The sequence below is a fragment of the Homo sapiens genome, chromosome 7, assembly GCF_000001405.40.
Source record: "Homo sapiens chromosome 7, GRCh38.p14 Primary Assembly".
Lineage (NCBI taxonomy): Eukaryota > Metazoa > Chordata > Mammalia > Primates > Hominidae > Homo > Homo sapiens.
Genome location: NC_000007.14, coordinates 41,684,881 through 41,711,614, shown reverse-complemented (window position 1 = coordinate 41,711,614; position 26,734 = coordinate 41,684,881). Strand labels below are relative to the sequence as shown.

The 26,734-nt window shown below is 42.4% G+C and overlaps 1 protein-coding gene and 1 long non-coding RNA gene across 5 annotated transcripts in view, besides 2 other annotated features; one reads left to right on the top strand and one right to left on the bottom strand.

The window, feature by feature from the left end:
• The window catches only part of INHBA-AS1 (INHBA antisense RNA 1), an 85,460-nt gene extending 67,764 nt beyond the window's left edge, over positions 1 to 17,696 (bottom strand). For both annotated transcript variants that reach the window (NR_027118.2, NR_027119.2), the window contains exons 1-2: positions 17,527 to 17,696; positions 833 to 1,017 (exon numbers count right to left, since the gene is read on the bottom strand). This is a non-coding gene — a long non-coding RNA (INHBA antisense RNA 1). The remainder of the gene's footprint in view (positions 1 to 832; positions 1,018 to 17,526) is intronic.
• Positions 1,278 to 2,477: an enhancer, noted in NCBI's record as "CDK7 strongly-dependent group 2 enhancer chr7:41748736-41749935 (GRCh37/hg19 assembly coordinates)". NCBI's record gives its function as "activates an origin of replication core promoter dependent on BRD2, BRD4, P300/CBP, MED14 and CDK7 cofactors, with strong dependence on CDK7, by STARR-seq in HCT116 cells {active_cell/tissue: HCT116}" and the evidence as "EXISTENCE:reporter gene assay evidence [ECO:0000049][PMID:35650434]".
• On the top strand, positions 6,209 to 26,501 carry INHBA (inhibin subunit beta A). 3 transcript variants are annotated; one of them, XM_047420335.1, is made up of 4 exons: positions 6,209 to 6,331; positions 6,831 to 6,886; positions 11,098 to 11,628; positions 21,073 to 26,501. In XM_047420335.1, exons 3-4 carry the CDS (start codon positions 11,241 to 11,243, stop codon positions 21,963 to 21,965), a joined length of 1,281 nt encoding a protein of 426 aa, XP_047276291.1. In that variant the 5' UTR covers positions 6,209 to 6,331; positions 6,831 to 6,886; positions 11,098 to 11,240; the 3' UTR covers positions 21,966 to 26,501. The 3 variants fall into 3 exon arrangements, with proteins under 3 accessions (XP_047276291.1, XP_016867663.2, NP_002183.1); XM_017012174.2 differs by lacking the exon at positions 6,831 to 6,886; NM_002192.4 differs by lacking the exons at positions 6,209 to 6,331; positions 6,831 to 6,886 and adding an exon at positions 8,525 to 8,610.
• Positions 6,395 to 6,484: an enhancer, noted in NCBI's record as "active region_25899". NCBI's record gives its function as "activates an Ori minimal core promoter by ATAC-STARR-seq in GM12878 lymphoblastoid cells {active_cell/tissue: GM12878}" and the evidence as "EXISTENCE:reporter gene assay evidence [ECO:0000049][PMID:35858748]".
• Positions 26,502 to 26,734: the final 233 nt, after the last annotated feature.

Sequence of the window (26,734 nt, the reverse complement as noted above, 5' to 3'; positions counted from 1 at the left end):
GACTCTACCCGATGACTTTGCCTTAATCGCAACAAACAGGTTCATGGAAATGGCCAAATTCACAACTATAACTTAGGAGGTTGACTCAGCCACTAACTAATTGTACCTGAATCAGACTTTGTTTCTTAAAAAGTTATGTGCTGTTCTTCATGGTACCAGTTAGGGGGCAGCAGATAGCCTGGCATCTTTTGTTGTCTAAAGGAAGCTTCCAATTAGGAGATCCTAAAGTTTCTATGTATTATTTTATTTATCATGTGACATGGTCTGACAGTTCCATCCTGCGCCAGCTGTTCATTTTGGAAGCCAAACCTCTCACCTAGTAGAGTGCTTATAATTCACTACTGAGCAAAGGTGAACCCAAATAATAAAGTATCCTATATAATTACTGCACTCTGCATCAGCCATTTCAGTTTCATCATTATCTAAATATTACGAAGCCCTAGCCTTCTCTTTTGGTCTATCATTCTGTCTCTCACACACGCCTAAGTAAACTTTATTTTGACTCCTTAAAATACCCTCAGGATGAGAATGCAAGTAATGGGATGAGTGTAGGCATCTATAAAATGGCTTCTGCAAAGACCTCAAGATGCTAGTTTAAGAGGATGAGGCATAGCCAGCCTGTGGTAAAAACATTTGCTTTCCTGATGCATGCAACATTGTGGAGATGCTACTTTTGTGTGTGGGGTGTGTGTGTTTGTGTGTGTGTGTGTGTGTGTGTGTGTAGCTACTGAACACTGAGAATTTTGTCTATTCAAAAAGAAACAACAGAAACATGATGCTGAGCTCTTGAGGATCCTTGAACCAATGTCTTCTTTTGGTTTTGATTACGTACCTATTTTAGTTTCCAGAAGCTCCTCATGGGATAAAGAGTAGTAGGTGTGGAAACCAGATCACAGAGAGGTAGGCTGACTTGTAACTTTCCAGCCAGGGACAGAGCCCCTGTGTGTAGTAGGGTCTTTTCAGTACCAGTCTACCCTGGTGGCTTGTCACAGAGCATTTGCCCATCTTTCCAAGGCTCTACAAAATAGGATGCAGGGAATTCAGGTCAGCCAATAAAGCTTTTTTAAAAAAGGAAGAGAAATAATACCAGTAAGCAACATTGACTGTGTACCAGCACATTCTATGCGGCTCACACGACTAACTCAGCTATCCCTGACAACAATCCTATCTATGAATATTATTATCCATATTTATTATACTAATTGTGGAACCAAGTCATTTGCCCAGGAGTTTGAAAGTGGTGAATCCTAAATTTGAACCCAGTCAGTCTGACTGCAGGACCCACACATTCAACCACTACCTTTTGCCTCATCTTCAAATGGTGTTTTGCATACTTCAGAGCACTGAGGTGGCTGTGCCCTTGGTCACTGGGAGGCCATACTTGGCTGCACCCATTTGGACTGTCAGGATCTTCTCCAGTCAGAGGCCACCGCCAGGGCCAGAGACAATGGAGAATTATTTAGTATCCAGTGGTTCTAGAAACTGCCTCTGTTTCAAGCCCAGGAAGAAGGCTTTCTGAGGAGGACATTCCTTCTTGGGACAAGGACCCTTAGTGAGATTTGGCCTTTATGCACCTCCATCTGAAAAGCTAAGCTTTTCTCTGGGAATTTGAATTGAAGGTTAGGGATGATTGCTCAGATGGGGAAAGTGTGAAATGGTAATCACTTTCATATGACACTCGAGAAATGTTATAATAAAGCTGAGTAAATTGGAGCATGAGTTAGCCGGTCCTTTGCCTAATGATGTCACTCACTTTGTGCTTCCTCCAGCCTATGATTAATAAAAGAGGGGTTATGACAGTAACTCACTCCTAGTGGGCAGCAGTGACGTCAGCAGCAGCTGAGCAAACTGACTACATTTAGTTGTGCGTGTGTATGTGGGCATTTTTTTTTCCTGTGACTAACATGAAGATAACAGCATCTAATAAAACAAAAGCTCCTTGAAATTTGGGAAACTTATTGGGTGAACTCTTTTCTACAGGGAGCACCATTTTAATTATTCTCAGCTCATAGTTAAGTGATGTTGGAGTTGGCCAAAATTACCTTGTTGGCTTTCTGCCCCTGTTTCATTAAGGGATCACAAATGAACCCCTGGCCTTTTGGAGAGAGGTTTTCTGGAGTGTTTTTTTCCTTCTACTATAGAGGCTCCTCCCTCATTCATTATACTCTTCCATCTTTTAAGAGGAACTCAATGAGTAGAAGAGGGATTGTAGCCATAAGTTATTTTTTGAAAGTTTAAAGCTGGTTGTAGAATTCAGTGATTCCATTTTAAACTTTGTAAGAATATTGTGCTTAATTACAGTTTGCTTTTCCAATCTAAAGTGACAGAAGTCCTACTTGCTATTTCACCTTTGCAAACTTGACCTTCCTAAAATTAGAGTGGGCCACCTGGAAATATTTACTCACCTAGCTGAGCTGCTGCCAGTGTCCACGCGAGTCCACAGGACTCGTGAACAGCAGCACTCAGCCCATGCCTTGGAGCTGCTCCCACAGAGGGCAGAACCTTTGGACTCTATTAGGACACGAGGGAGGCAGCAATTCACTGATTTAAAAAAAATACACACAGAACTGCCCCCAGGCTTTTCTGTCGGGCTTTTTCCCTCCAAGCAGCGATTTGGGAACAGGTTGTGGGGGGATCTTTGTGGACAGGCAAAAGTGGATGCAAATCAAGATTGCTGCTCTCTTATCAGTCCAATGGAATCTACGTGCTAAACCACCATGTCTTCAAGTCACCAATGGAACTTATTACCCAAGGGGATCCAGGTGAGAAAAATGATTACAACAATCTGTTCCGCATTCCTTGGGGGGTATTTTTCAATAATCTTCTGAGGCAATAGGAAGATAAATTGTTGAAGCAGATGTTTCCTGATTGGGTTAGAACTGAGTCATGATAAACAATTTTGAAATATATATTGGTCAGGAAGAATGTTGAGGGCATATTTCTTCAGGTTGAGTTAGTCTGGGTTTTTTTCAATATATGTTTTTATATAGTGGTTGTAAATGAGTATTTCTTTCAATATTGAATTTTTTTTACATGTACTACATGGTTACTTCTTGGGAAGAAGTCCAGGCATTTCTGAATCATTTGAAAGTTGATTGAGGCCTTTGGTTCCAAAATGACCATTTACCTGAGGAGACAGTGATTCACACGTTGGAAGAGATGATACGGCGTCAGAGTGTCTAAGACATTCCCCTCATGGCTCCCTTCATCTTAAAATGATCTCTGACCTACCCTTTCCTTTCTGGATGACCCATTTTACTCAGGAGCTAAGTGATGAACCAGGGAAGTAAGCACTCACTGTATGGACAACAGGATTTCAGTTCTAAGCTAGTTTTATCCAGGCAACTTCCCTCTTGTGCATTTCACCAATACTTGTTGATTACTCTTACGATTTTCCATGAGATGGAATCCTTCACAATAGTTTCCCCAGTCCTCACAGGAGAGCAACACCTGGAAGGGCATGGCCTTCCTTTAATAGACACACCACTTCCTTTTACAAAGGAAGTTTGGAGAATATAATGTTGCTTGCAACAGCCATTAGGATTTAGCAAAACACTGTTTTATCTCTTTGGATATTGATTGTATGTCATTCCCCTAAGGTATTAAACAAATAAAATCAAGCTACATCATATTTGTTTGCTCTAGGAGAAAGGCATGGTTATCCTACGTTTGTGAATTTTACTTCAGGGAATTCTCTATTGCATGGATTTATCTGATACTGAATTGCTAAAATGAACAACTCAATCCTTTATTCATTTACTCTTTTGCATGAGTCTCTTGTCTCCTAACAACTTGGGTGTGGGCCAGCCCATCTCATTTTGTTGCTGGTCACCAAGATTCTGCTTTAGGTCAGAACAAAAAGCCAGCAGGAAAATGTATTGAGACCATACGTGAAAGTTGGTTGGAACAACGAGGTTGCCCAAGAGGAACATTGTATCTGTAGTCTCCAGTAATCAGAAAACATAAGATGCAAAAGGAAGCAGAATCACTTGAATTATTAGTATTTTGTAGAGCTGCAATTTTTTTTTTTTTTTGGTTTCCAAGGCCTCTTGGAGATGGATAGGGAGAAGGTTGAGTGAAACTTTACAATTATAATATGAAATCAGGGTATCTCAACTGCAGAACAATGAACACTGTAGGCCAGGTAATTTCTTGTTGTTGGGGGCTGTCCTGTGCATGGTAGGATATTCAGCAGCATCCCTGGGCCCTACCCACTAATGATCAGTAGAACCTCCCTCCCAGCTGTAACAACCAAAATGTCTTCAAACATGGCCAGATGTTCCCCGGGGAGCAAAATCGCCCCGGTTGAGAACCACTGCTGTAGAATGAAGAGTAATAGGTTACTTACTGGGTTTTCTTCCTCCTTCTCTTTTCCCTAATTGTTTTAGTTCTAGTATCTGGGTTCCCTTGGTTCAGAAAGCAGCATTTCCAAATAATCTAAAAACAGAGTGCTCTTACATAGCAGAAGGCCTTGTGGGATATTCTGGTGGTTCTGAAAGAAATGTGAAGCTTACGAGTCAAGTTTCAGATTAACCATTTCTGACCCTGTTGTTCTCAATGAATTTCAGGGGACTTTTTAATGCTTTCCTCTCTCTCTCTGTTTCGATCTATTCATTCATTGATTTAACTTAAAAGCAAAACAGCTTCCCAGTTCAATTTTGAACGTGAAACGCTGATTCTCCTTTGTCCCAAATCTTTCTACCTAACATTCAGCCCAAGCTATGTACAGGCTGCGGCTGTCCAGGAAACAGGCAGGGTTTGCCAATCCCATGTTCGATTTAAACCATTTGATGAGACCCTTCATCACAGACTCTCGCAGTCTCCCTGCAGCAAATAGTACTCTGGATCCTGCCCACGTTCTCTGGATTCTGAGCTGCCTCTGGAGGGAGTCACCCCTCACCAACAAGGCCAGGTTTTCCGGCCTGAGCCCCAGAATAACACATCAGCTGCTGGGAACACCTCGAGTCCTTTTGATTTCTCTCCATAGTCACGTTTTATGTTCGGTTTCCCAGACGGGATGAACCAGAAATCATGCTTTTTTGGAAACAGATTTTTTCATAGGAAGGAAAGAAAACACCGTGACTCGTCAGCACTCTTGTCCGTGCCTCTGAACCCCCAGCCTTGTGTCATTTCAGCTGAATCAGAGAACAACATCCCAGTCACCTGCTTGGGGCGTTCGCGTCTCCTGGCTTGTATTTTTGACTGAATAACAGCAATCCGTGAGCAGCAGCTAAAATAATAGAGCCCTGAAAAATGCCCCAACCCCCACTCCCTTTTCTGGTCCTGTCTCCTTGCTCCAGGAGTAGTGAGGAAAGAGACCAGTTAATAGCGTGGATGAAAGCTGAAGGACAGACGGTTTGAGAAGAAAAGTGAACATTCTTGCTTCCTCATCTATGCCAACTTTGAACAGGGACAGCTGCTGCCACAGGTAAACACCACTATAGGGTTGGCCGTGGCCCTAAGCTAGGTGTCACCGTAAGCCACGGGCCAGCACACGAACGCTGGCCTCTCCCCCATTCGCACAATTGAGCTCTTATCCTTAAACGAACTTTGTTTTTTGACCAGCTCACTAATTGTGATTGAAAACACCAGCTCCCCAGCAATGCACACGCATTGGAGTTAGCAGCAGCAAGACAGGCCCTAATTGCTCCATTTACATAAAAGTAGAAACATACAACTTCTAAATATAAATCTCTGGCACATCGTTCCTTTTGCAATTACAGTAAAATAAGGTACCACAGTTTCCCTCCCGGCTCCTTCTCGCAGCAAGCTGCTCCACCGGGTTCGCTAGTGGCTGCTCCTCGAGGCGAGAACAGAGCCATGCAAATGCTCCAGCGTGGAGTTGGGTTTGTGAAGTCGCCAGTAAATCAGGCCGCCTCCACTAGGTGAATAACGCGGTGGCAGCGGGCCACTTTGCTAGTGCAGTCGCTGGAGGACCGCGCTCCGCACTCAGAAGGGGGCAGTTGGCTGGTGCGCGAGCGCTCCCGGCTCGCCTCTGTCCGCGGGGAGCCAGCCGGCCCCTCCGCAGGTCCCGCTCCCTGACATTTGCTGTGGTTTCACTCCCTGGCACTGAGGGCTGGGTTCAGAGATTCCCAGCTGCACTCACTGAACAGTGATTTTTTTCCCCTCCCTGAATTCTTTAGCTGCCAAAAGGGGGGAAAAAATCAAGAGCTGCTCTTAAAAGAAGTTGCCCTTGCTGGTGCTCAGGGTAAAAATAGAGGCTGCCGCTTAGACCGGCTTGGCCCTGGCTCCAGGCATCCTGCGAGCTGGGCTCGAGCAGCGGCCGCGTTCCGGCGTGATCCCTGGAAGCTGCCAGCAGGTGCTGCTCAAGGTACAGTAGCAGGGCCGAGAAGCCGGGACCCGAAGGGCCTGGGGTGCGGGGAAGCTCCGGGGGAGGGGGAAGTGAAAGAGAAACCAAACCAAGGAAGGAGAAGGAGATTCTGGTCAGGACTGGGCTGACCAGCTTGTGCCCCGGGCCCTTGAGTTCCGCAGGGAAAAGCTGATTCCCAGTCTAGAATATTCCACAGAAGCTATTTTAACCTGCCTGCTTCCTCCACCACCCCCACCTTGATTTGCACCGAGGGAGGAGGCATTGCCACTGTGGTGCAGGTGGTTGCAGAGGGGTTGCAGCACGGCTGGTAGGCTGGCCTGGCAGGTGGGCACTCGGTGGCATCAGATGGCCAGCGGAGTTTCAGAGTCACACTTGTGTTGTGGCTCCTCTGGTCAGAGAGCTGCAGATTCCTGTGACACCCATGTTTAAGAACAGCCACCAGGCTTCTCAGAAATAGTATCACTTATTATTATCTGACAGCTGCACTTGACCCCCACAGGTTCATATCATGGATCCCATTTTATAGATGGGAACACTGAGGCCTGAGTTTACACGGTGAGTGAGCAGAGGAACTGGGATCTGATCTGGGTTTGTTTTGTGCCCCCCACCCCCACCCCACGTCACCTACACACACACACACACACACACACACACACACACACACACACACACTACTTTGTGTGGAGGCGGAGGGGATGTTTTCAGGACACTAGGGTTCATGTGTGGGTCAGGGGTGAGTTTAGATGCCCTGAAGGTCATTGACTCCACTAATTCTCAGCAAAAAGGGTGGAGAAGTTTCTTTCTTATAAAGGGTTTGAGTTCACCCAGTGCTAAGCTGAGGGGCAGGTTTGGAGTTCACCATCATTAATCCTATTTCTGTCTTCGCCACTCAGATTCACTCTCTTCCTCTACAACCTAATGATTTTTTTCCTACTTCATTTCTGCATATGCAGTTCTTAGAATACTCCTTCCCCCCACCCCCATGCAGCTCAGCACCCACACTTTCTCTGTATCTAGCCAAGAGAGACCCTTTTACACAGAAAACTTCTGGTGTCCTAATGGAACCTGCTTAAGCCACACATCAGGAGGCCAGAGCCTCTATATTTTGCTTGTGGGCACAGTGAAAAGTTTATTTTATGCATGTTAAATCCTGCATACAAAACAACATATCTGGTCATATGGCTCTCATTAGCTCCCAATTTTGCACATTTTATCCAACTTGTCATGAGAACTGGGCTTATGCTTCAACTGTAGTCCTTCAAACAACCCTTCACCGTTCTTGTCAGAGGACCCCTTCCTCCTGTGTTATTTACCAGACTTGCCAACACCCCTCCCCCACAAAAAAAGCCTGACCAGCTTTACCCCTATTTCAAGGAGTGTTCACTTCTTTTCATTAATCTGCTGTTATATTTGTAACAATTTAGAAATTATAGGAGTTGAAGTTCTGGTAAAAAAGAATGATGCATGAGGGTTTTTGTTGTTGTTGTTGTTGTGTGTGTGTGTGTGTGTGTGTGTGTTTGGTTAGTTAGAATGAGATTCTAAAGACCTGGGAAGGATACTTATGAAGTTCATTTAAAGAGAATTACTATTTCCAAAGTTCTTGATTTATGAAGCAGGCATTCAATTTCAAGATGTAAAATAATAGTGTAAGTTGGTTGGGGTCGGGGGAGACCATCATCATATGATTATACAGATTTTCCCAATTTTTTTCCTCAATGAAATAGCTTATTTTAAAAATATAAAATTAGAATCCCTATAAAGAACACTACCAATTTTCTTTCCTGAAAGAAACAATAAAATACTTTGTAAATAGAAGCAACTTCATGAAGTAACAGATGTTTTATGTAAAGACATAAAACTGAACCTGAATATAACGAGACGTGTGTGCGAGTAGTAAAAGTTGAAAGTTGGACACACTCATTGAGACATATCTATTTGATTCCAATGTTTTTCTAAAAGGTAGAGTAATCCTAGCCAGAGGTTTCACTGGCTCAGTGCATCACCCAGTAGTGTCTCAGAAGCCAGGAAGGGCTTTCCATTAGATAATGAATTATGAAATGTCTCACACTGGAAAAACCAGTCATCCGCTGATGTCATGCTGATTCCAACCAATCCCAAACAAAGCCCCAGCCCTCCTCTGTTTCAGTGGTACCAATGTGTGGTGTACAAATAAGTAGTACAGTATAAAACTTCACAGTGCCAATACCATGAAGAGGAGCTCAGACAGCTCTTACCACATGATACAAGAGCCGGCTGGTGGAAGAGTGGGGACCAGAAAGGTAATGCTTTTTAACTCTTACTTCTGAGCTCTTTACACATTCAAAGATAGGAAAGCTAGGAGGAATTTTACAACTAATTGGCATTTCCAATGTGCATTGTGATGTGTACCTTTTTATATTATTCAGGCAGGTTAATACAGCTTTTAATAGTCCTAGAGCATGCAAATAGATTATATGTTTATACAAGCCACTCAGCACATATATACAAGTACATATGCCAAAGAGAAAGCTATTTTTAAGAGTTACATTCGCAAACAGTAAATTCAGGGAACACACACATACTCAGATGCAGAGAGAATCCAAATATTGATAAGTTGCACTTATCTAAATGCTGCTATTAGGACTCCTGAGTTGTTTAGAGCCATTAAACTTTTGGTTGTATTTCAGACTTTCTTGTAAAACTTAATTGAACTGCAAAACATTTTGGGTACTGTATATGTGACTCCAAATAGGTGGATGATGTTAAGTATTATAGCACAAAGATTTTTTATAAAACCATTGTAACACAAATGTCCCCTGCCTCCCCCATTCTCTTTCACCATCCCCGTAAAAAATATGAGGCTTTTTAGGCAATGTTGACAAAGTTTTAACAATAATGGTGGAGTAATTGATGTTTCTGGAGCTGAAACCCCAAAGGTGTTAGGTTACTTGTAACAGAAAAAGTCTTACAAATAGTTGTTTTGGAAAAGGGGACAGTATATATAATTCAGAAAGCATTGTTAACCTGTGCAAACTGTAATTATAACTTAGTGTCACAATTTTCTTGCCCTCTTCCCCTTGCACTCAGATCTTATCTTGTAGTAATGATATTTATTAACTCTTTCCACCTAAACTGCATTGCTTGACTGTAATGCTATGAACACACTAGGTGTCAGATATAAGCTGAGTGTATCTTCAGAAACCAAGAGGGCTTATGTGTGGGAAAGAAACCGAGAGGGAAGGAACGCTTTAACAGATGGACCCCTTAAAGATTCTTCTGCAAGATAAAAGCAATAAGACAGAAAATGAAAAAGAGGGGAGGGGGAAGAATTTTTTTTAAGCCTTAGAAAGGCATTGTTAAAAAATTCACATTTTTCTTTTTCTGTGCACACTAAAATCCATGATGATTTCATCTGCACTGTTCCTTTGAGGGAAAAAGAAGCAGTCAAGGAGGCTGTCTATGAATGCACTGGTCGGGACAGGCTTGGGGCAAGCTGAAAAAACTACCACATGACAGAGAAAAATAATTTGCCAATATATTTTAGAGAGTCTTTTCCCATAGGACCAGTTATTCAAGTCATACGAGTGCACTCTTTTTATAAAAGGATGTGGGAAAGGCCAAGAGAATTTTGCATTTTATCTGTGAAGTCCGGCGAGTGGTGGTAGGCTGTAATGTGTGAGAGTGAGTGGGTCCCCGGCAGAAGGGGGCAGCTGAACGCGACGGGGAGAAAGCGCTTCTGGAACTTGGGCTTGTGACAGGCTGCCTGCCCTCTGGTCCTTCAGTGCCCTGCTGCATTTCACAGTTGGGAAGAGTGGAGTGTATTATATGACCCCAAACAAAAGTTCCATTGCGCTCTCCTCAGATTGCCTGCCAGTGTTGATGACCTGAACATTTAAATATGAATGAATTGGGGGAAAGGACCATCTCCCCTGGATCCCATCAGGCCAGAACAATCCTCTGTTACCCCTGAGTCCCTCTTCCCTGACCTCCACTACCTGTCCACTGGACCTCCCTGCACCCTCTGCCCCACCACGTGGCCAGGTGGGCGTTCTACCACCTAGGGCTGTGGCTTGGCTGGGTGGAGGGGCGGTGGGAACACTTTTTCAATCAATTCATCCCTATTGATTGAGACACTGTGTTTGTTTGGGGTTTCTTTTCTCCCCTCCAAAAAAGGAAGAAGGTGAAACCAGGAGACTGGGCAGAGAAAGAAAAAAAAATAGTGAACAAAATTAGGATAATTTATTTTAGAAGAGAAAGTAGAACCCCCGAAAATGGTGATATTTGAAGAGAGGTGTCTGTGAGGAAGCTAAGAGCAGAAGGAGAGCAGCCTGTCAGAAAACGGGCTGTCCCTCCCTCCCTAATCACAGCCCTACTCACAGCAAACTCCCTCCCTCTCCATTCACTCACTTACTTAGGGCCAATCCTTTCTCTCTCTCTCTCTCTCTCTCTCTCTCTCTCTCTCTTCCTTTCCCTCTCTCCCTCTCCCCCTCCCTTCCCTCCCTCTCTCCCTCTCTCTCCCCCTTCTTTCCCTCTCTCTTCTCTCCCCCTCTCTCCTCTCTCTCTGTCTCTGTCTCCCTCCCATCCTCTCTCTCTGTCTCTGTCTGTCTCCCCGCCACCCTGTCTCTCCCTCCCTCCCTGTCTCCCTCCCTCCCTCCCTCCTTCCTTCTCTCTTACTCGGAGACAGTCAGAACTCTCCTCCCTGACAGCCACAAACCTACAGCACTGACTGCATTCAGAGAGGAACCTGCAAACAAAACTTCACAGAAAACTTTTTGTTCTTGTTCCAGAGAATTTGCTGAAGAGGAGAAGGAAAAAAAAAACACCAAAAAAAAAAATAAAAAAATCCACACACACAAAAAAACCTGCGCGTGAGGGGGGAGGAAAAGCAGGGCCTTTTAAAAAGGCAATCACAACAACTTTTGCTGCCAGGATGCCCTTGCTTTGGCTGAGAGGATTTCTGTTGGCAAGTTGCTGGATTATAGTGAGGAGTTCCCCCACCCCAGGATCCGAGGGGCACAGCGCGGCCCCCGACTGTCCGTCCTGTGCGCTGGCCGCCCTCCCAAAGGATGTACCCAACTCTCAGCCAGAGATGGTGGAGGCCGTCAAGAAGCACATTTTAAACATGCTGCACTTGAAGAAGAGACCCGATGTCACCCAGCCGGTACCCAAGGCGGCGCTTCTGAACGCGATCAGAAAGCTTCATGTGGGCAAAGTCGGGGAGAACGGGTATGTGGAGATAGAGGATGACATTGGAAGGAGGGCAGAAATGAATGAACTTATGGAGCAGACCTCGGAGATCATCACGTTTGCCGAGTCAGGTTGGTGCTGGCATTGGCAGGGGGTGGGGAGGGGTGGGGGGTGGGAGGGTAAAATATATTTCTTTGACAGTCCCAGGAGGAACTTCTTTTCCCTTCAGCTGGAAACTGCCTGGGAAGGTTATTAGTTATTAGGTGATGGTAGCGGACTAGCCGACGGAGGGCAGGCAGGGGAGGGGGAGAGGACTTTACAGAAAAGGAATTCTCGGTCGAGCTCTGCCTGGAGATGACTGGCTTACACTTACTAAACCCAGCGGGTCACACAGAGAGGAAGCTCGGGGCCAATGTTGAGCTGGAAGGCAGACTGTGAGGGGCTGCCTTGCCCTGCCTGTGAAACCAGATCTGAGCAGCCGGAGGAAAGCCGCGGCATTTTCGGGTGCTAGGGGAGCAGAGGAGGCTTCCGGACCCCATCCAAGTTTTTATTGAGGGTAGAGGGGTGAATGTACCAGGATTGGAGTGGAATGGCACAGATGAAGTCACTCTCTTAAAACAAACCTTCCCCTTTAAAAGTCCAATCTGGGGCCACATTGGAGAAGCAGGGCATATTTATGAGTGACAGTCATTTTTACCTTTAGAAAATGTCTATAAGTGCACAGGCACCACATTCAAGACAGGGAAGAGCTACTTTGGGGGACAGTTGTCATTGAACCAGCAGTTACTTTTGGGACACTGACTTTTGCTCTCTGAAAGAAAAAAAAATAAATAAAACAACCAGTTTTGTTCTTTCTAAAGTTACTAAGAGCTCTCTGCCAAGGAACGCAACCTTGACAAAGTACTCTCAGATACTACGCTGAACTCACTCAATCCTTAAGAGGAAGAACTTTAATAAATAGATTCTAATCGTTGGCCCAGGACCACACTAACCTGTTGCTGAATAGCAATACCTGTCAAAAGTATGGGCCCATGGACTTGGAGCCAGGCTATTTTTATAGTTAAGTGACACAGATCCTTTGCATGCCTGCAAGCCCATGCACGTCAGGCACACAGATGTGTTAATACCGTGTTACTTTCATGGTAATGCCAGGCTAAAGAATTGCATCCTTTGCCAACTCCATTTGAAAGGAATGCCATTGTTTTGTTTGGTAGAGCATATGGCCAGTAAAGTATGTGCAGGGACTCCCAGCATTTTTGTTTAAAAGTTTGCCGCAGCAGTATAAACAATTAAGGCAACACTCAGAATTTCCAATCTGAAAACCTGTTGACTCAGATGTTCTGTTTTCAAGAAAACCATGAAAGACCAGGGCATCTTTCCGGGGGTGCAGATAGCCTGCTGGCTGTGTGGCTTCCCCTTGCAGGAGAAGCCCTGGTGTCCTACAAGCTTCCCAGTTTGGCTCTCTCACCAGAAGCCTCTCTCACTTAGGGAAGATCCTACTTTCTTTCCCTAAAGCTCTTTCTTAACCCAGCCCCAAAAGGCATGATCATTAGGACTTTATCTTCTGGAGCTTTTTGAGGAAGAAAGCTAGGTTGGAACTTTTCAAGTTGACACCCATTTTTTTTTCTCAACTTTTCATGGTGGGAAAAGGTAAAAAAGAAAATATTTACAATATTTGGCTGTGCATGTGAAACAGATTTCAGTGGTCTAGAGGGTTGCTTCCTGTCTTTGTATACCAACCTCCACACATGATGGATTCAATGACAGCTCGTATCCAGTTGCCTTTAACCATGTCATATGACTAAGTATACCTATGCCTTTGACCACTTTTAACCGCACTACCGTTACTAGCAATATGCCCCTCTTTCTGACTTACTGGACTTGTATAGCAAATCACTCTCTTAGCATTTAGAGATTTGGCAGTGAAAAAATTTGACCATTTACATTCTTTCTTATGTGTGGTCTTCCTTTCTGTGACAGTCTTCTCTCAGTTGTATGAGATCTTGTCATTTTTTTACTTCTCAGTTAGGTGTTTAGTTTGAAAAAAAATGAGCGACTTTTGAAAAAGCGATTCGTTGGACGTTCACATTGAGTCAAGTTTAAGATTTGTAATGGGAAACTCCTGGTTGACTTTACAACTTGACTTTGGATTCTTAGAAAACACTTATTACAATTGCTTATTTTTCTCTGAGGGATTTCACACATCAACTTCAAGTTGATTTAATGTAATTTCATGTATTTAATGATTGCTGTATGGACTGTCTACTCTTCAAGCAGAAAACCACGTGAGCATTTTGCTGCTGATTTTGCTAGTCCAGAAAAGACATTTATCATCCAAATGATTGTAGCAAATATATGAACATGAATAGAAAAGACCTATGTCTTGTTGCTTTTGGAATAATTCAACTTTAATAACATTCCAACTATGTGGAATGTCAAGAGTTTTTGGAGAATAGAAAAAGGAATGCATTTTTCTTTCCCTTATAACCATTTTGTGCAGCATAGAATCCAGACATTGTCACCCATGAGCATGCCACAGATGCAGACCCATAGCAGCCCCTTTCAACCTCAAGATTCTTCAATTTGAGGCTACGTTTAATTTTTGCCTTTTCTCTCCTTGATTGTTGGATAAAGCCAAGGCCTGGCTACAGAAGTAGAGAGCCTCCAAAAGCTGAAGTGCTGAGGACTCTTTTAACTGAGTTTGTCCCATCCTGTTTAGGTAGAAAGTGCTCAATTTTTGTAAAGTTGATGCGAGTTGTTATTGACTAAACAGCAGGGAATCACTCTAAGGCTCTCTGAAATGTATCCCAACAAACAAAAATTATTTTATTTTTATATATGTCACATCACCCAAGATTTCTCACCAAGGTTAGTGTGTTCTTTGCATGGCTGGCACAAAACCCTCAATGTTTTACCTTAAGGCCTACAGAGTTCTTCACAAGGAAAGATAGAAGGGATGGGTAAAGCCAAGCTATCACTATAAATGTCATGAAGCTAAATTCAGTGGCCTTTTCAGCTGATGCAGCTTATTTTTATTTTATTTTGACTCATGACAGTAGGTGGTCAATCAATGCATAATAATAATGTACCTCTAAGTCTCCATATGCTGTCAAACCTGGATGTGGGTTCTGGTAATTAGCTTAGCAATTGATAGCACTTGTTGTAGAAAGAATAGGGAAAGAAAGACAAATGACACACCAAGAAATGGATGTGCTCACGTAGCCTAGGTGTTGTTAAGCGCAACACATAAGTCTACCCCTTGGAGGATACTATGTATGGAAGATTTGAGTTAGAAGTTTGCACTGCCCAGACAGGGATCCAAGAAGCTTTGCTTGGATGACCATTTTCCCCACCCCAAGAAAGCCATCTCAAAATGAAGCTGACTCCCACCATTCCAATCCCACCTTCCGAACTTTTCTGTGAATCACCCCTCCTTTAGGGATGCCTTTAGGGGTTACACGCTCTCTTCCGTGAATAATGGGGAAGAGCGGCCACAAGAGGGCGCGTTCCAAAGACTTTTGCTCCTTGTCAGTGTATCCAGGGAAAGGCAGTTGCGCGTACTGGAAGCCCCTGTCTGTAGCGCCCTAATCTTGGTGATTATCAGTTACCGCCTGCTCCCTCTCATCCTGCAGAAAAAGTTAGGAATTTATGAGATGGGAGAAGCATGACTACCTGTAATACATTAAATGAGACAGAAGGAAAGGAAATGGAAATTCTAGTGATACATGTGAACATTCCGGAGCTCTATGGAAGGCAGACGAGTGATAAATTTCAAAAGCAAACAAAGCGGAGCAGGGAGAAATGTGACTATGAATCATCAGCGATACTGATTTGCTCACAAGTCTCTCCCTAATACGGTCTCCCGGGTCGTAACAAAAACATCTTCCATCTCCCCTGATTTTGTTGCCTAGTTTTCCTGCCTTATCAACAGTTTCCACCAGCGACAAATGACAAGTGACTTCAAACAGGGAGGAAAAAGGTTCTTTCTGTAATGCCTTGTGGGAACATGGTGTTCGGCTTCTGAGGATGCGTTTGTTTCCGAACTGAGGGTGTGGAGAGAAATGGTGGGAAAGATGGGAAAAGAGATTAATAGTGGTCTGCGGCCTGTGCAGTGGATGGACTGGGCTGGGGGTGGTGGAGATGCCAGGGTGGAAAGTCCGTTGTAATATTTAAAGAACTGCAGTAATACCTTCCCAGGCACTTTTCTTGAAAACACATATTTGTCTTGGCCCCTCTTCTGCTAAAAAATACTTGCACGTGATCTCCTAGCTGTAGTTCTGAATTCTTCGTACTCGACTGGTTCCTAAGTCCAAAATGAGAAGTGCCAAAGTTCTCAGGAACTTTGGAAGAAGTCTCTGAAATTTTGTGGGTTAAACCTTAAGAATTTTTGCTACTTGTAGGAACCTAAAACCCCTTTCTCCCAAAATATTTAACCTTTTTCATCACCACTTTAATGGAAGAGGCATGGATGATGGACGTTTGTGCCAGGGCATTTATAAATCAATAATGGACCCTAAGGAGGGAAATTAAAGCTAAAAAATTAATCAAGATAATTTATGGCCAAACCTATAGTTCTACTGCAGGAAAGATCCTCTACTGTAGGTCAAAGGAGGAATAACCTTAAGACCTCACTTGCTGCTTTCTGCAGAAACCCCTGGAAGCAGTCCAAATGCAAAGTTAGGGCTTCAGAGAATGCACCCTGTAAATGGTAGTTGTGTATACCCTTACCATTGACTATACCATATCTAGGCACAGTGAAATCTTGATGAAGAATGGAAAATTAAAGGAACAGACGCTTTTTACAGGGAGGCTTCCCCCAGCCCCCATCCCATGGTAAGTTTAAATGTGTTCTATAAACAACGAGGCTTTCCACATTCACATTAGAGACATAACTATTGCCCATATGTAAAAGAGCAACATATTTTAAGCAGGACCCTGGTGAGGAAAACAAAACCAAATCGAAACACTGCATGTGTGTGTTGCTTATTTAACTGAAAATGTTCATAGACCCACAAATCTGAGATGCTGGACTTTTGGATGAGTCCAGCATTTTGCATCTTAGTGTAGGGGGAGGGAACAACAAGGGGCTTAGTTGCTTAACCCTTGCCATGCCTTCATGATTGACTTATTCAAAACATTTTTAAAATTCTGAAAGCAAAGGAAAATGTGCTGCAAACACCCTTCCAGCTATCTTTCCTTCCAGCTTACACAGTCTCTCCTCTGTCCAATCCTTCCCACCCAGCAGCATTTCAGAGGTATTCCCTGTGAGGTACAAAATTTCTCTTTGCCCATTTTTCTGCACCTCTTTTTCTCTCTCTTTGGTATGTGTCCACCAAGCTCATAGAGGTTTAAGTGATGAAATATTATCACCCACATGGGTTTGCGTGGGACTTTCTTAGTGAATTACTCAGGCAGAGCAGGCTGTGATACAGCCTTGCTCACAAGCCTCGGGAGGGAAAAAATAGCACAGAGGATGAAAAGAATATTATTAGAGAGCAGGTAATGAAAGGTTCGCAAAGCAACCAGCTATATCTGGTTAGCTAGGTAATAGTGCAGGAACCTAGGTCGCACCTGTACAAACTAATGCAGAACCTGCTCACGGCGCACTATGGGAAGACATTCATTTCAAGAGTTTACAGCATGAGATATTTGAGTAAAACCTGAAACTGATTAGAAATTGATCCTGAACATCCCAGCCTTAGTCAACCTTCCCTTTTTCAAATTGTTATGCATGGAGATTGGAGGATTGGGGCATCTTGAAAGTGTCACTGCAGTATAGCAATCTCTCTCAGGTAATATAGAGATAAAGGGAATATAATAAATTGACCTGTTATTTATTATCTTTTTCATACCTAGGACATTCCGAGGCTTAATATATTTCTGAAGCCTACAGCCCTGATAAACATCAATCCCACGTCAGTTTCCAGCAGTCTCATCTCCCCACACCCTTCTGCAATGAAAGCTAATGTAAAAGAAAGAAATATGCACTGCTTAATAAGTCAGAATACAATAGAACTTGTAAAATGTACCTGCATATAAGGTAGACATTAGGAAGACTTGAATCTCTCTCTTCCCCCTGTTCTCCTGAGCATTATGGCAACAGCATTTTCATGAAATTAGATCTGTTTTATATTTTTTCCTGATAAAATATCATGCAATATACAAATAGCAGTTCCAGAAATGGACACCAGGAGAAGGAGGCGACAGGCATGTCAATTAGTAGGGGGAAAATCCAAATGTCAGAAATATGGGGGAGAGAGAAAGCACGCAGGCAGTGGATGCAAATACAGGGAACAGAGTCTTTCAATTCAGATAATTAAACGGATGCATAAATCAGCACCCTTGCCTCTCTACAATACGCAGGCGATGCCATGCAGTTAATTATCAGCCAAGACCAGCATGAAAGTCATTTTATGATGACTCTCTGATCCTAATATAACAGCACCTGACAGATTGAGCCCCCTCTAATGAGTACTCTCTTTGTACAATCCTCTCTCAGGAACACTAAATCATTTGCTTCCAAGTACAGCTGCCTGTGAAGAAGGGGTGGGGCTAGATCATGCATCAGAAACCTGCTCTTGTGAAATCAGGGGCTGTCCTGTAGGCTGTGTGACTGGAAGCCAGCAGCCTCAGCCTCTCTGGCCCTAAAAAAGCAATTTGCACACGGCTGTCCCTAATTCTAGTCAGCCAAGTAACCCTCCCTCGGCACCCCCACCTAAACATCTGTAGTCAGCCTTGGGTGTTATTCATGGAAAGTCCACTGCATGCGGGTCAGCACTGCTGTCCATCGGCTTCACCCTGACCCCTTCTGGCAGGTGTGGATGAGAGTAGAGCAGAGCTCATGGGGATGAGTTACCCCAAACCTATTAAGCCTCCCTATCCGGGGCACTAGTCAGACACTCCAGTTTTACACTCTTTCCTAGAAAAACAAAACCCAACCTTGTGCCCTCTGGGTTCTCTAATTTAGCAGCTACTATCTGTCTGTTTTTGGAGTGACACCCTGTGCAGTTTAGGATTTCAGAAGCTGTCCTGCATAGAGGCAGAAGGGAAAACAGCAGGTATCTTGTTAACATTCTCTATGGGGCAAGGCAGATGTGCCCAAGCTGGAGGAAACCTGCACACCCTCCAGGCTAGTTATCCAAGGCTTGGGAGGTTTCCCTCGGCCTTCTCCTAAGGCCTTGGCAGGACCCTGCCACCCTAAAATCAACTGCTGATTGCCTTTTTAGATTTAAATGATTAAGCTCTGCTTATGGGAATCTTCTTCTCTTTTATTTTGTTAAGAAACAAACAACAACAACAAAACCCACACCAATTCTTAGCAAAGGGGAATATCGAATTCAGATTTTGAAAAAATAAGTCATCATGCTTCCTAAAATAAGACAGCTTCTCCCTCTAACTGCTCTCTCTGCTCTGGTATTCTATCTAATCATAAACCCAGCTTTATTATTCATTTCAACTCCTGCCAAAGACATGAGGTCGGAGTCAGAGGAACTCCCCTTACCACCGCCACCATCATCATGGCCAGCATCCTCGTAAGTTTATAGAAAGATGCCAGAGAACCTTTCCTATCCATCTGCAGCCCTGCTTGGCCCTTGCCTCAGTGAATTTACCACTATCATAATCACAGTGTGCAGAGTGTGTTAAATTAAGAACAGAATCCACAGTACGCAATGCACAGAAAAGCCTGCCTTCTGCTGCAGAGAACTTGAAACTGTGCCTAAAATTTATAGTACCGTAAACATCTCAGGGCCTCGAGTGATAAGTATGGCTGGATTTCCGTTAACTATAGAAATCCAGGCAGGGAGATCCTCCCAGGGAGTTGCAAGTTCTAAGATGAACTTCTTGAAGATTGTTCCCAGATTTGTGCATGGGATACATGTACAGCAGACAGTTGTAAGGAGGTCCACGGTCATGGAAAAGAGGATATGTTTCTATATGCCACCAAGTGGGAAAAATGGAAGTGAGGGAAAATATTTGATTAATCAAAAAATTTTAGTTTGGATACCTGCTTTCATAGTAATTGTTGCTGTGTCATTAAACATACAGTTGCTTAGGAAAAGAGAAGGAAATAGGTGACTTTCTAATTTTAGAGTTAGGCTGGAACTGAGTGGTTGCTAAATTCAACTGCCCTGACAATGTGGGGATTTCCTGTCCATTAGCAGCGATTGCTATTTGACATATGTTTCTGGTGCCCATTAATCTGCCCTGTAATGGGTCAGAGGCAAAAATGGGGGATTCAGAGGTACTAGGTGGCTCTCTTAATTTAATAGAACTCAATGCTAAGGACGCCTCTATTTGTTAATAAGTAATCAAGTCATTGGCTACTTTCTGCTAAACACTAGACTATGATAGTGACCTTAGACCCCGGGCATTCTAAACCAGGCTGGCAGGAGGGTGGTGGTGGAGGTGATGTGAGGTAAGCCTCCTAGAGGAACTGTCATCCAAACAATCTGAAAATTGAAACATTATTAAAGGCAGCACTAAGGGTGGTATGTTGGAGTTGGGGCAGGAGCACTTAAGGCAGAAGGAACAGCAGGTGTCACTGCCTGCAGTTGAGAAAGGGGGTGGAATTCTCAAGGCCTTAGACCCCAGAGAACAGGACTGGGCAAGAGCTGACATTCAAGGGAGGAACAGCATGTACAGAGCCCAAAGTCCCAGCCACTTTCTGTTGGATACTGAGCAATAGGAATTCAGTAAAGGACTTTCAAGAAGAAGTGATGTGATCAGATCCACCTGTGGGAAAGATGCCTTTAGCTGCTTCATGGAGAAATGACTGGAGAGGAGGCCTTCCTTAGTGTTGCAGAGGCAAAGTAAAGAAAATGCTGCTGCAGTGACCCAGCAAAGAGGTGATGGCGGAGGAATCAGGCTGTGACAAGGGAAGAAGAGGCTGGCTCAAGTGTGTCTCGACTGCACAGACTTACACAGCGAGGTGGGGCCAGGGGCTGCATTTTTGTCTGAGAATAGTATTTCCTTAGCTTTCTAGAGCTTACAGTGTCTTTTTGTTTATGTTATCTCATTTGACCTTCCTAAACCTGTGAGATAACAGGTCAAATGTCCTTATGTCATTCCCATTTTTATAGAAGATGAAACTGAGGTTGAGCAATTAGTCAACAGACACAGACTCGCAGGCCCTCTTCATTCTAAAGCAAGGGTCCAAAACCTTTTTTCTATAAAGGGCCAGAGAGTAAATAATTTAGGCTTTGTGAGCCAGGCAGTCTGTTGCAGCTACGCAGTCCTTGGTTATTATAGTGCAAAAACAGCCATAGGCAGCATGTACAGAAATGAGCATAACCATGCTCCAACAAAACTTTATTTACAGGCACTAATGTTTAAATTTCAGGTAATTTTCACATGTCACAAAATATCACTTTTCTTTAACCACTTAAAAGTATAAAAGCCATTCTTAGTTTGCAGGCAGTACAGAAACAGTTTCAGCCCATGGGCTGTCATTTGTTGACCCCTATTCAAGAGGGTCTGTCACAGAAGACTCCTGCTTGCCTGAAATTTACGAGTGCATGTAAATGTTGGAATTAACAGGTGTGCCTGTTTTCTCTTATGCTGTCTTTCATCTTCAGGAACAGCCAGGAAGACGCTGCACTTCGAGATTTCCAAGGAAGGCAGTGACCTGTCAGTGGTGGAGCGTGCAGAAGTCTGGCTCTTCCTAAAAGTCCCCAAGGCCAACAGGACCAGGACCAAAGTCACCATCCGCCTCTTCCAGCAGCAGAAGCACCCGCAGGGCAGCTTGGACACAGGGGAAGAGGCCGAGGAAGTGGGCTTAAAGGGGGAGAGGAGTGAACTGTTGCTCTCTGAAAAAGTAGTAGACGCTCGGAAGAGCACCTGGCATGTCTTCCCTGTCTCCAGCAGCATCCAGCGGTTGCTGGACCAGGGCAAGAGCTCCCTGGACGTTCGGATTGCCTGTGAGCAGTGCCAGGAGAGTGGCGCCAGCTTGGTTCTCCTGGGCAAGAAGAAGAAGAAAGAAGAGGAGGGGGAAGGGAAAAAGAAGGGCGGAGGTGAAGGTGGGGCAGGAGCAGATGAGGAAAAGGAGCAGTCGCACAGACCTTTCCTCATGCTGCAGGCCCGGCAGTCTGAAGACCACCCTCATCGCCGGCGTCGGCGGGGCTTGGAGTGTGATGGCAAGGTCAACATCTGCTGTAAGAAACAGTTCTTTGTCAGTTTCAAGGACATCGGCTGGAATGACTGGATCATTGCTCCCTCTGGCTATCATGCCAACTACTGCGAGGGTGAGTGCCCGAGCCATATAGCAGGCACGTCCGGGTCCTCACTGTCCTTCCACTCAACAGTCATCAACCACTACCGCATGCGGGGCCATAGCCCCTTTGCCAACCTCAAATCGTGCTGTGTGCCCACCAAGCTGAGACCCATGTCCATGTTGTACTATGATGATGGTCAAAACATCATCAAAAAGGACATTCAGAACATGATCGTGGAGGAGTGTGGGTGCTCATAGAGTTGCCCAGCCCAGGGGGAAAGGGAGCAAGAGTTGTCCAGAGAAGACAGTGGCAAAATGAAGAAATTTTTAAGGTTTCTGAGTTAACCAGAAAAATAGAAATTAAAAACAAAACAAAAAAAAAAACAAAAAAAAACAAAAGTAAATTAAAAACAAAACCTGATGAAACAGATGAAGGAAGATGTGGAAAAAATCCTTAGCCAGGGCTCAGAGATGAAGCAGTGAAAGAGACAGGAATTGGGAGGGAAAGGGAGAATGGTGTACCCTTTATTTCTTCTGAAATCACACTGATGACATCAGTTGTTTAAACGGGGTATTGTCCTTTCCCCCCTTGAGGTTCCCTTGTGAGCCTTGAATCAACCAATCTAGTCTGCAGTAGTGTGGACTAGAACAACCCAAATAGCATCTAGAAAGCCATGAGTTTGAAAGGGCCCATCACAGGCACTTTCCTACCCAATTACCCAGGTCATAAGGTATGTCTGTGTGACACTTATCTCTGTGTATATCAGCATACACACACACACACACACACACACACACACACACAGGCATTTCCACACATTACATATATACACATACTGGTAAAAGAACAATCGTGTGCAGGTGGTCACACTTCCTTTTTCTGTACCACTTTTGCAACAAAACAAAACAAACAACATTAAAAAATTGAGAACAAGTATGGAAAGAATGAAAGATCAAGGAAAAAAGAATACCAAGTTACATTTCGTTAAGGTGCTTATGATCTTAGAACTATGCAACCTAATAGGTTTGAAACTGTTTACCTGAGAGAGAACAAAAAGAGAGACTTTTTTGTATTGGAAGTAATCTGATTAATTTTTATTTTCTTCAAGGAGAGATACTTGAAAGGAATATGTTTGTCCATCTGTTGGATCCAAACATTTCTATATTTTGTAAATGTTGTTGTTGTTTTTTTTTTAATCGTTTACTATTTGCACTACAATGGTGTTTGACCTGTCTAATCCTTATTTAACAAGTATTTTCTTTGGTTGGGGGTGGGGGTGGGGTTTAAGAGCTGCACTTAATGTGAGCTATAAAAGAACTGCTACAGCACACAAAATAGCTATTTTTATTATTATAATTATAATTATTATTATTATTTTGTACCTTAAAAAATAGACACATACACCAAAGACATTTGTGTGAGCCTTTAAACAGTCTGTCTGTGGTTGGTATCATTCACCATCAATGAGTCAGGGGTTGGGATTCAAGGTTGAGTAGTGTGGATTGTGTTCAGGCTTAAAAGACCTGAGAAGTTTGGTTTTTGACTCCTTTTACATCCATGAAACAGGACATTTCATACTGGATGTACAGTAGTTGTACACTGTTGGATATCAAGTTCAATCAAATTCATGGAACTACATGCTTGTATGTGTATATATACATTGCTTGTGCATATGCATATCTGTATGTATATATACATGTATTGTACCATGTCCATACACATTTTAAGCACTTCAGGCTGTCATTTTTTAATGTTCTTAAAGCAATGAATGTTTGTGTGCAAAACACAGTATTTTTAAGAAGGATAGGCTATAGTTTTTGCTTTTACTCTGAACTAGGTGGGCGCATTTCAAAAATTCGGATGGGAAAAAGCCTGGAAATTCCAGTGAATATTCAGCAAGGCCCTCTTTCATTGTACAGGGATCAAATTTCCTCCTCTTTTTTGTGCCCCCTCCCACTTCTACAAGTTATCCCCTGTGGGGAAAACAGGATGATAATCAAAACTCTGGGCTGATGTTTTTCCAACTTAGTGTCTATTGGAATCAATCTTAAATCAGAAGCTTTTTCAGAAAAATAATATTTAGGCCAGAATTAGAGTTGAGTGTATTTTTTAAAAATGATTAAGGCTTGGTTGTGAGAAATATTACCTGTACCAGCTGGGAAAAATAATGTCATCACTAACTAAAAGATAATTAATTTGAGAGAAAGTGTTAAGAGAGGGAGAGTAAGGAAGAGAACAGTTAAGAGGAGGCAGAGGTGAGGGCAGTAGTAAAAATCTCTAAAATTTTAATTTACAGCCAAAATTCTTCATGTGTAAATTTGTATTGATTCAGATGCAGAAATGAAAAAAAAACACCTTTGTTTTATAAATATCAAAGTACATGCTTAAAGCCAAGTTTTTATCTAGTTTATTCTAGTACTTAGCTTGCCTGGAATAGCTAATAAATTATTCATGTATGTGCTTTTGAAAATCCAGAGCCCTATTTTTACACACTTGTGTGAAGTTGGCAAACATTTTGAAAAATGGAAAAAAGTTTCTAATAATTGGGAACAATTACATTAATTAATATTTTGTAAAATATTGAAGCTTTTAGCCCTATGTCAATTTGTAGATTAAAATAAATTAATTATAGGAAAGGAAGATAACAGTGAGAAACCAAACATTACAAAAGGTGGTTTAGCTCTCCTTGAAAAATATACTAAGTTGGTATACTATAACACTTGGCTATATGTAGGCAATGTCACTACTGGGCAAATACACTTACTGTGTTCTAGAGGCAGCCCTTTCTTATGCAGAAAATACAATACGCACTGCATGAGAAGCTTGAGAGTGGATTCTAATCCAGGTCTGTCGACCTTGGATATCATGCATGTGGGAAGGTGGGTGTGGTGAGAAAAGTTTTAAGGCAAGAGTAGATGGCCATGTTCAACTTTACAAAATTTCTTGGAAAACTGGCAGTATTTTGAACTGCATCTTCTTTGGTACCGGAACCTGCAGAAACAGTGTGAGAAATTAAGTCCTGGTTCACTGCGCAGTAGCAAAGATGGTCAAGGCCATGGAAAAAGCAGAAATTTACCAAGAAAGCTGATACCCATGTATAGTTCCCACTCATCTCAAATACATCTGCTATCTTTTTAAGCTAAGTCCTAGACATATCGGGGATAACATGGGGGTTGATTAGTGACCACAGTTATCAGAAGCAGAGAAATGTAATTCCATATTTTATTTGAAACTTATTCCATATTTTAATTGGATATTGAGTGATTGGGTTATCAAACACCCACAAACTTTAATTTTGTTAAATTTATATGGCTTTGAAATAGAAGTATAAGTTGCTACCATTTTTTGATAACATTGAAAGATAGTATTTTACCATCTTTAATCATCTTGGAAAATACAAGTCCTGTGAACAACCACTCTTTCACCTAGCAGCATGAGGCCAAAAGTAAAGGCTTTAAATTATAACATATGGGATTCTTAGTAGTATGTTTTTTTCTTGAAACTCAGTGGCTCTATCTAACCTTACTATCTCCTCACTCTTTCTCTAAGACTAAACTCTAGGCTCTTAAAAATCTGCCCACACCAATCTTAGAAGCTCTGAAAAGAATTTGTCTTTAAATATCTTTTAATAGTAACATGTATTTTATGGACCAAATTGACATTTTCGACTATTTTTTCCAAAAAAGTCAGGTGAATTTCAGCACACTGAGTTGGGAATTTCTTATCCCAGAAGACCAACCAATTTCATATTTATTTAAGATTGATTCCATACTCCGTTTTCAAGGAGAATCCCTGCAGTCTCCTTAAAGGTAGAACAAATACTTTCTATTTTTTTTTCACCATTGTGGGATTGGACTTTAAGAGGTGACTCTAAAAAAACAGAGAACAAATATGTCTCAGTTGTATTAAGCACGGACCCATATTATCATATTCACTTAAAAAAATGATTTCCTGTGCACCTTTTGGCAACTTCTCTTTTCAATGTAGGGAAAAACTTAGTCACCCTGAAAACCCACAAAATAAATAAAACTTGTAGATGTGGGCAGAAGGTTTGGGGGTGGACATTGTATGTGTTTAAATTAAACCCTGTATCACTGAGAAGCTGTTGTATGGGTCAGAGAAAATGAATGCTTAGAAGCTGTTCACATCTTCAAGAGCAGAAGCAAACCACATGTCTCAGCTATATTATTATTTATTTTTTATGCATAAAGTGAATCATTTCTTCTGTATTAATTTCCAAAGGGTTTTACCCTCTATTTAAATGCTTTGAAAAACAGTGCATTGACAATGGGTTGATATTTTTCTTTAAAAGAAAAATATAATTATGAAAGCCAAGATAATCTGAAGCCTGTTTTATTTTAAAACTTTTTATGTTCTGTGGTTGATGTTGTTTGTTTGTTTGTTTCTATTTTGTTGGTTTTTTACTTTGTTTTTTGTTTTGTTTTGTTTTGTTTTGCATACTACATGCAGTTCTTTAACCAATGTCTGTTTGGCTAATGTAATTAAAGTTGTTAATTTATATGAGTGCATTTCAACTATGTCAATGGTTTCTTAATATTTATTGTGTAGAAGTACTGGTAATTTTTTTATTTACAATATGTTTAAAGAGATAACAGTTTGATATGTTTTCATGTGTTTATAGCAGAAGTTATTTATTTCTATGGCATTCCAGCGGATATTTTGGTGTTTGCGAGGCATGCAGTCAATATTTTGTACAGTTAGTGGACAGTATTCAGCAACGCCTGATAGCTTCTTTGGCCTTATGTTAAATAAAAAGACCTGTTTGGGATGTATTTTTTATTTTTATTTTTATTTTATGTCTTATTTATTTTCCATGATCAACTTTGCACACATATTGACACATCCTTTGCTGGGTGATAATTTTGTTTTTACTGTAATTATCCAGAAGAGGATGAGAAACAGACTGAATGTGGGAGATAACAAAAGCTGGAGTGAGAGAGCTCAAGTAGAAAAAGAATAGATTTTGCCATGGCAGAGGCTGGTAATGGGCTGCAGATGCTTGGAT

Coding starts and splice junctions, on each gene's coding strand:
- INHBA (XM_017012174.2), top strand. CDS start 11,241: ATGCCCTTGCTTTGGCTGAGAGGATTTCTGTTGGCAAGTTGCTGGATT. Junction 11,629..21,072: donor CATCACGTTTGCCGAGTCAG/GTTGGTGCTGGC, acceptor TTTCATCTTCAG/GAACAGCCAGGAAGACGCTG.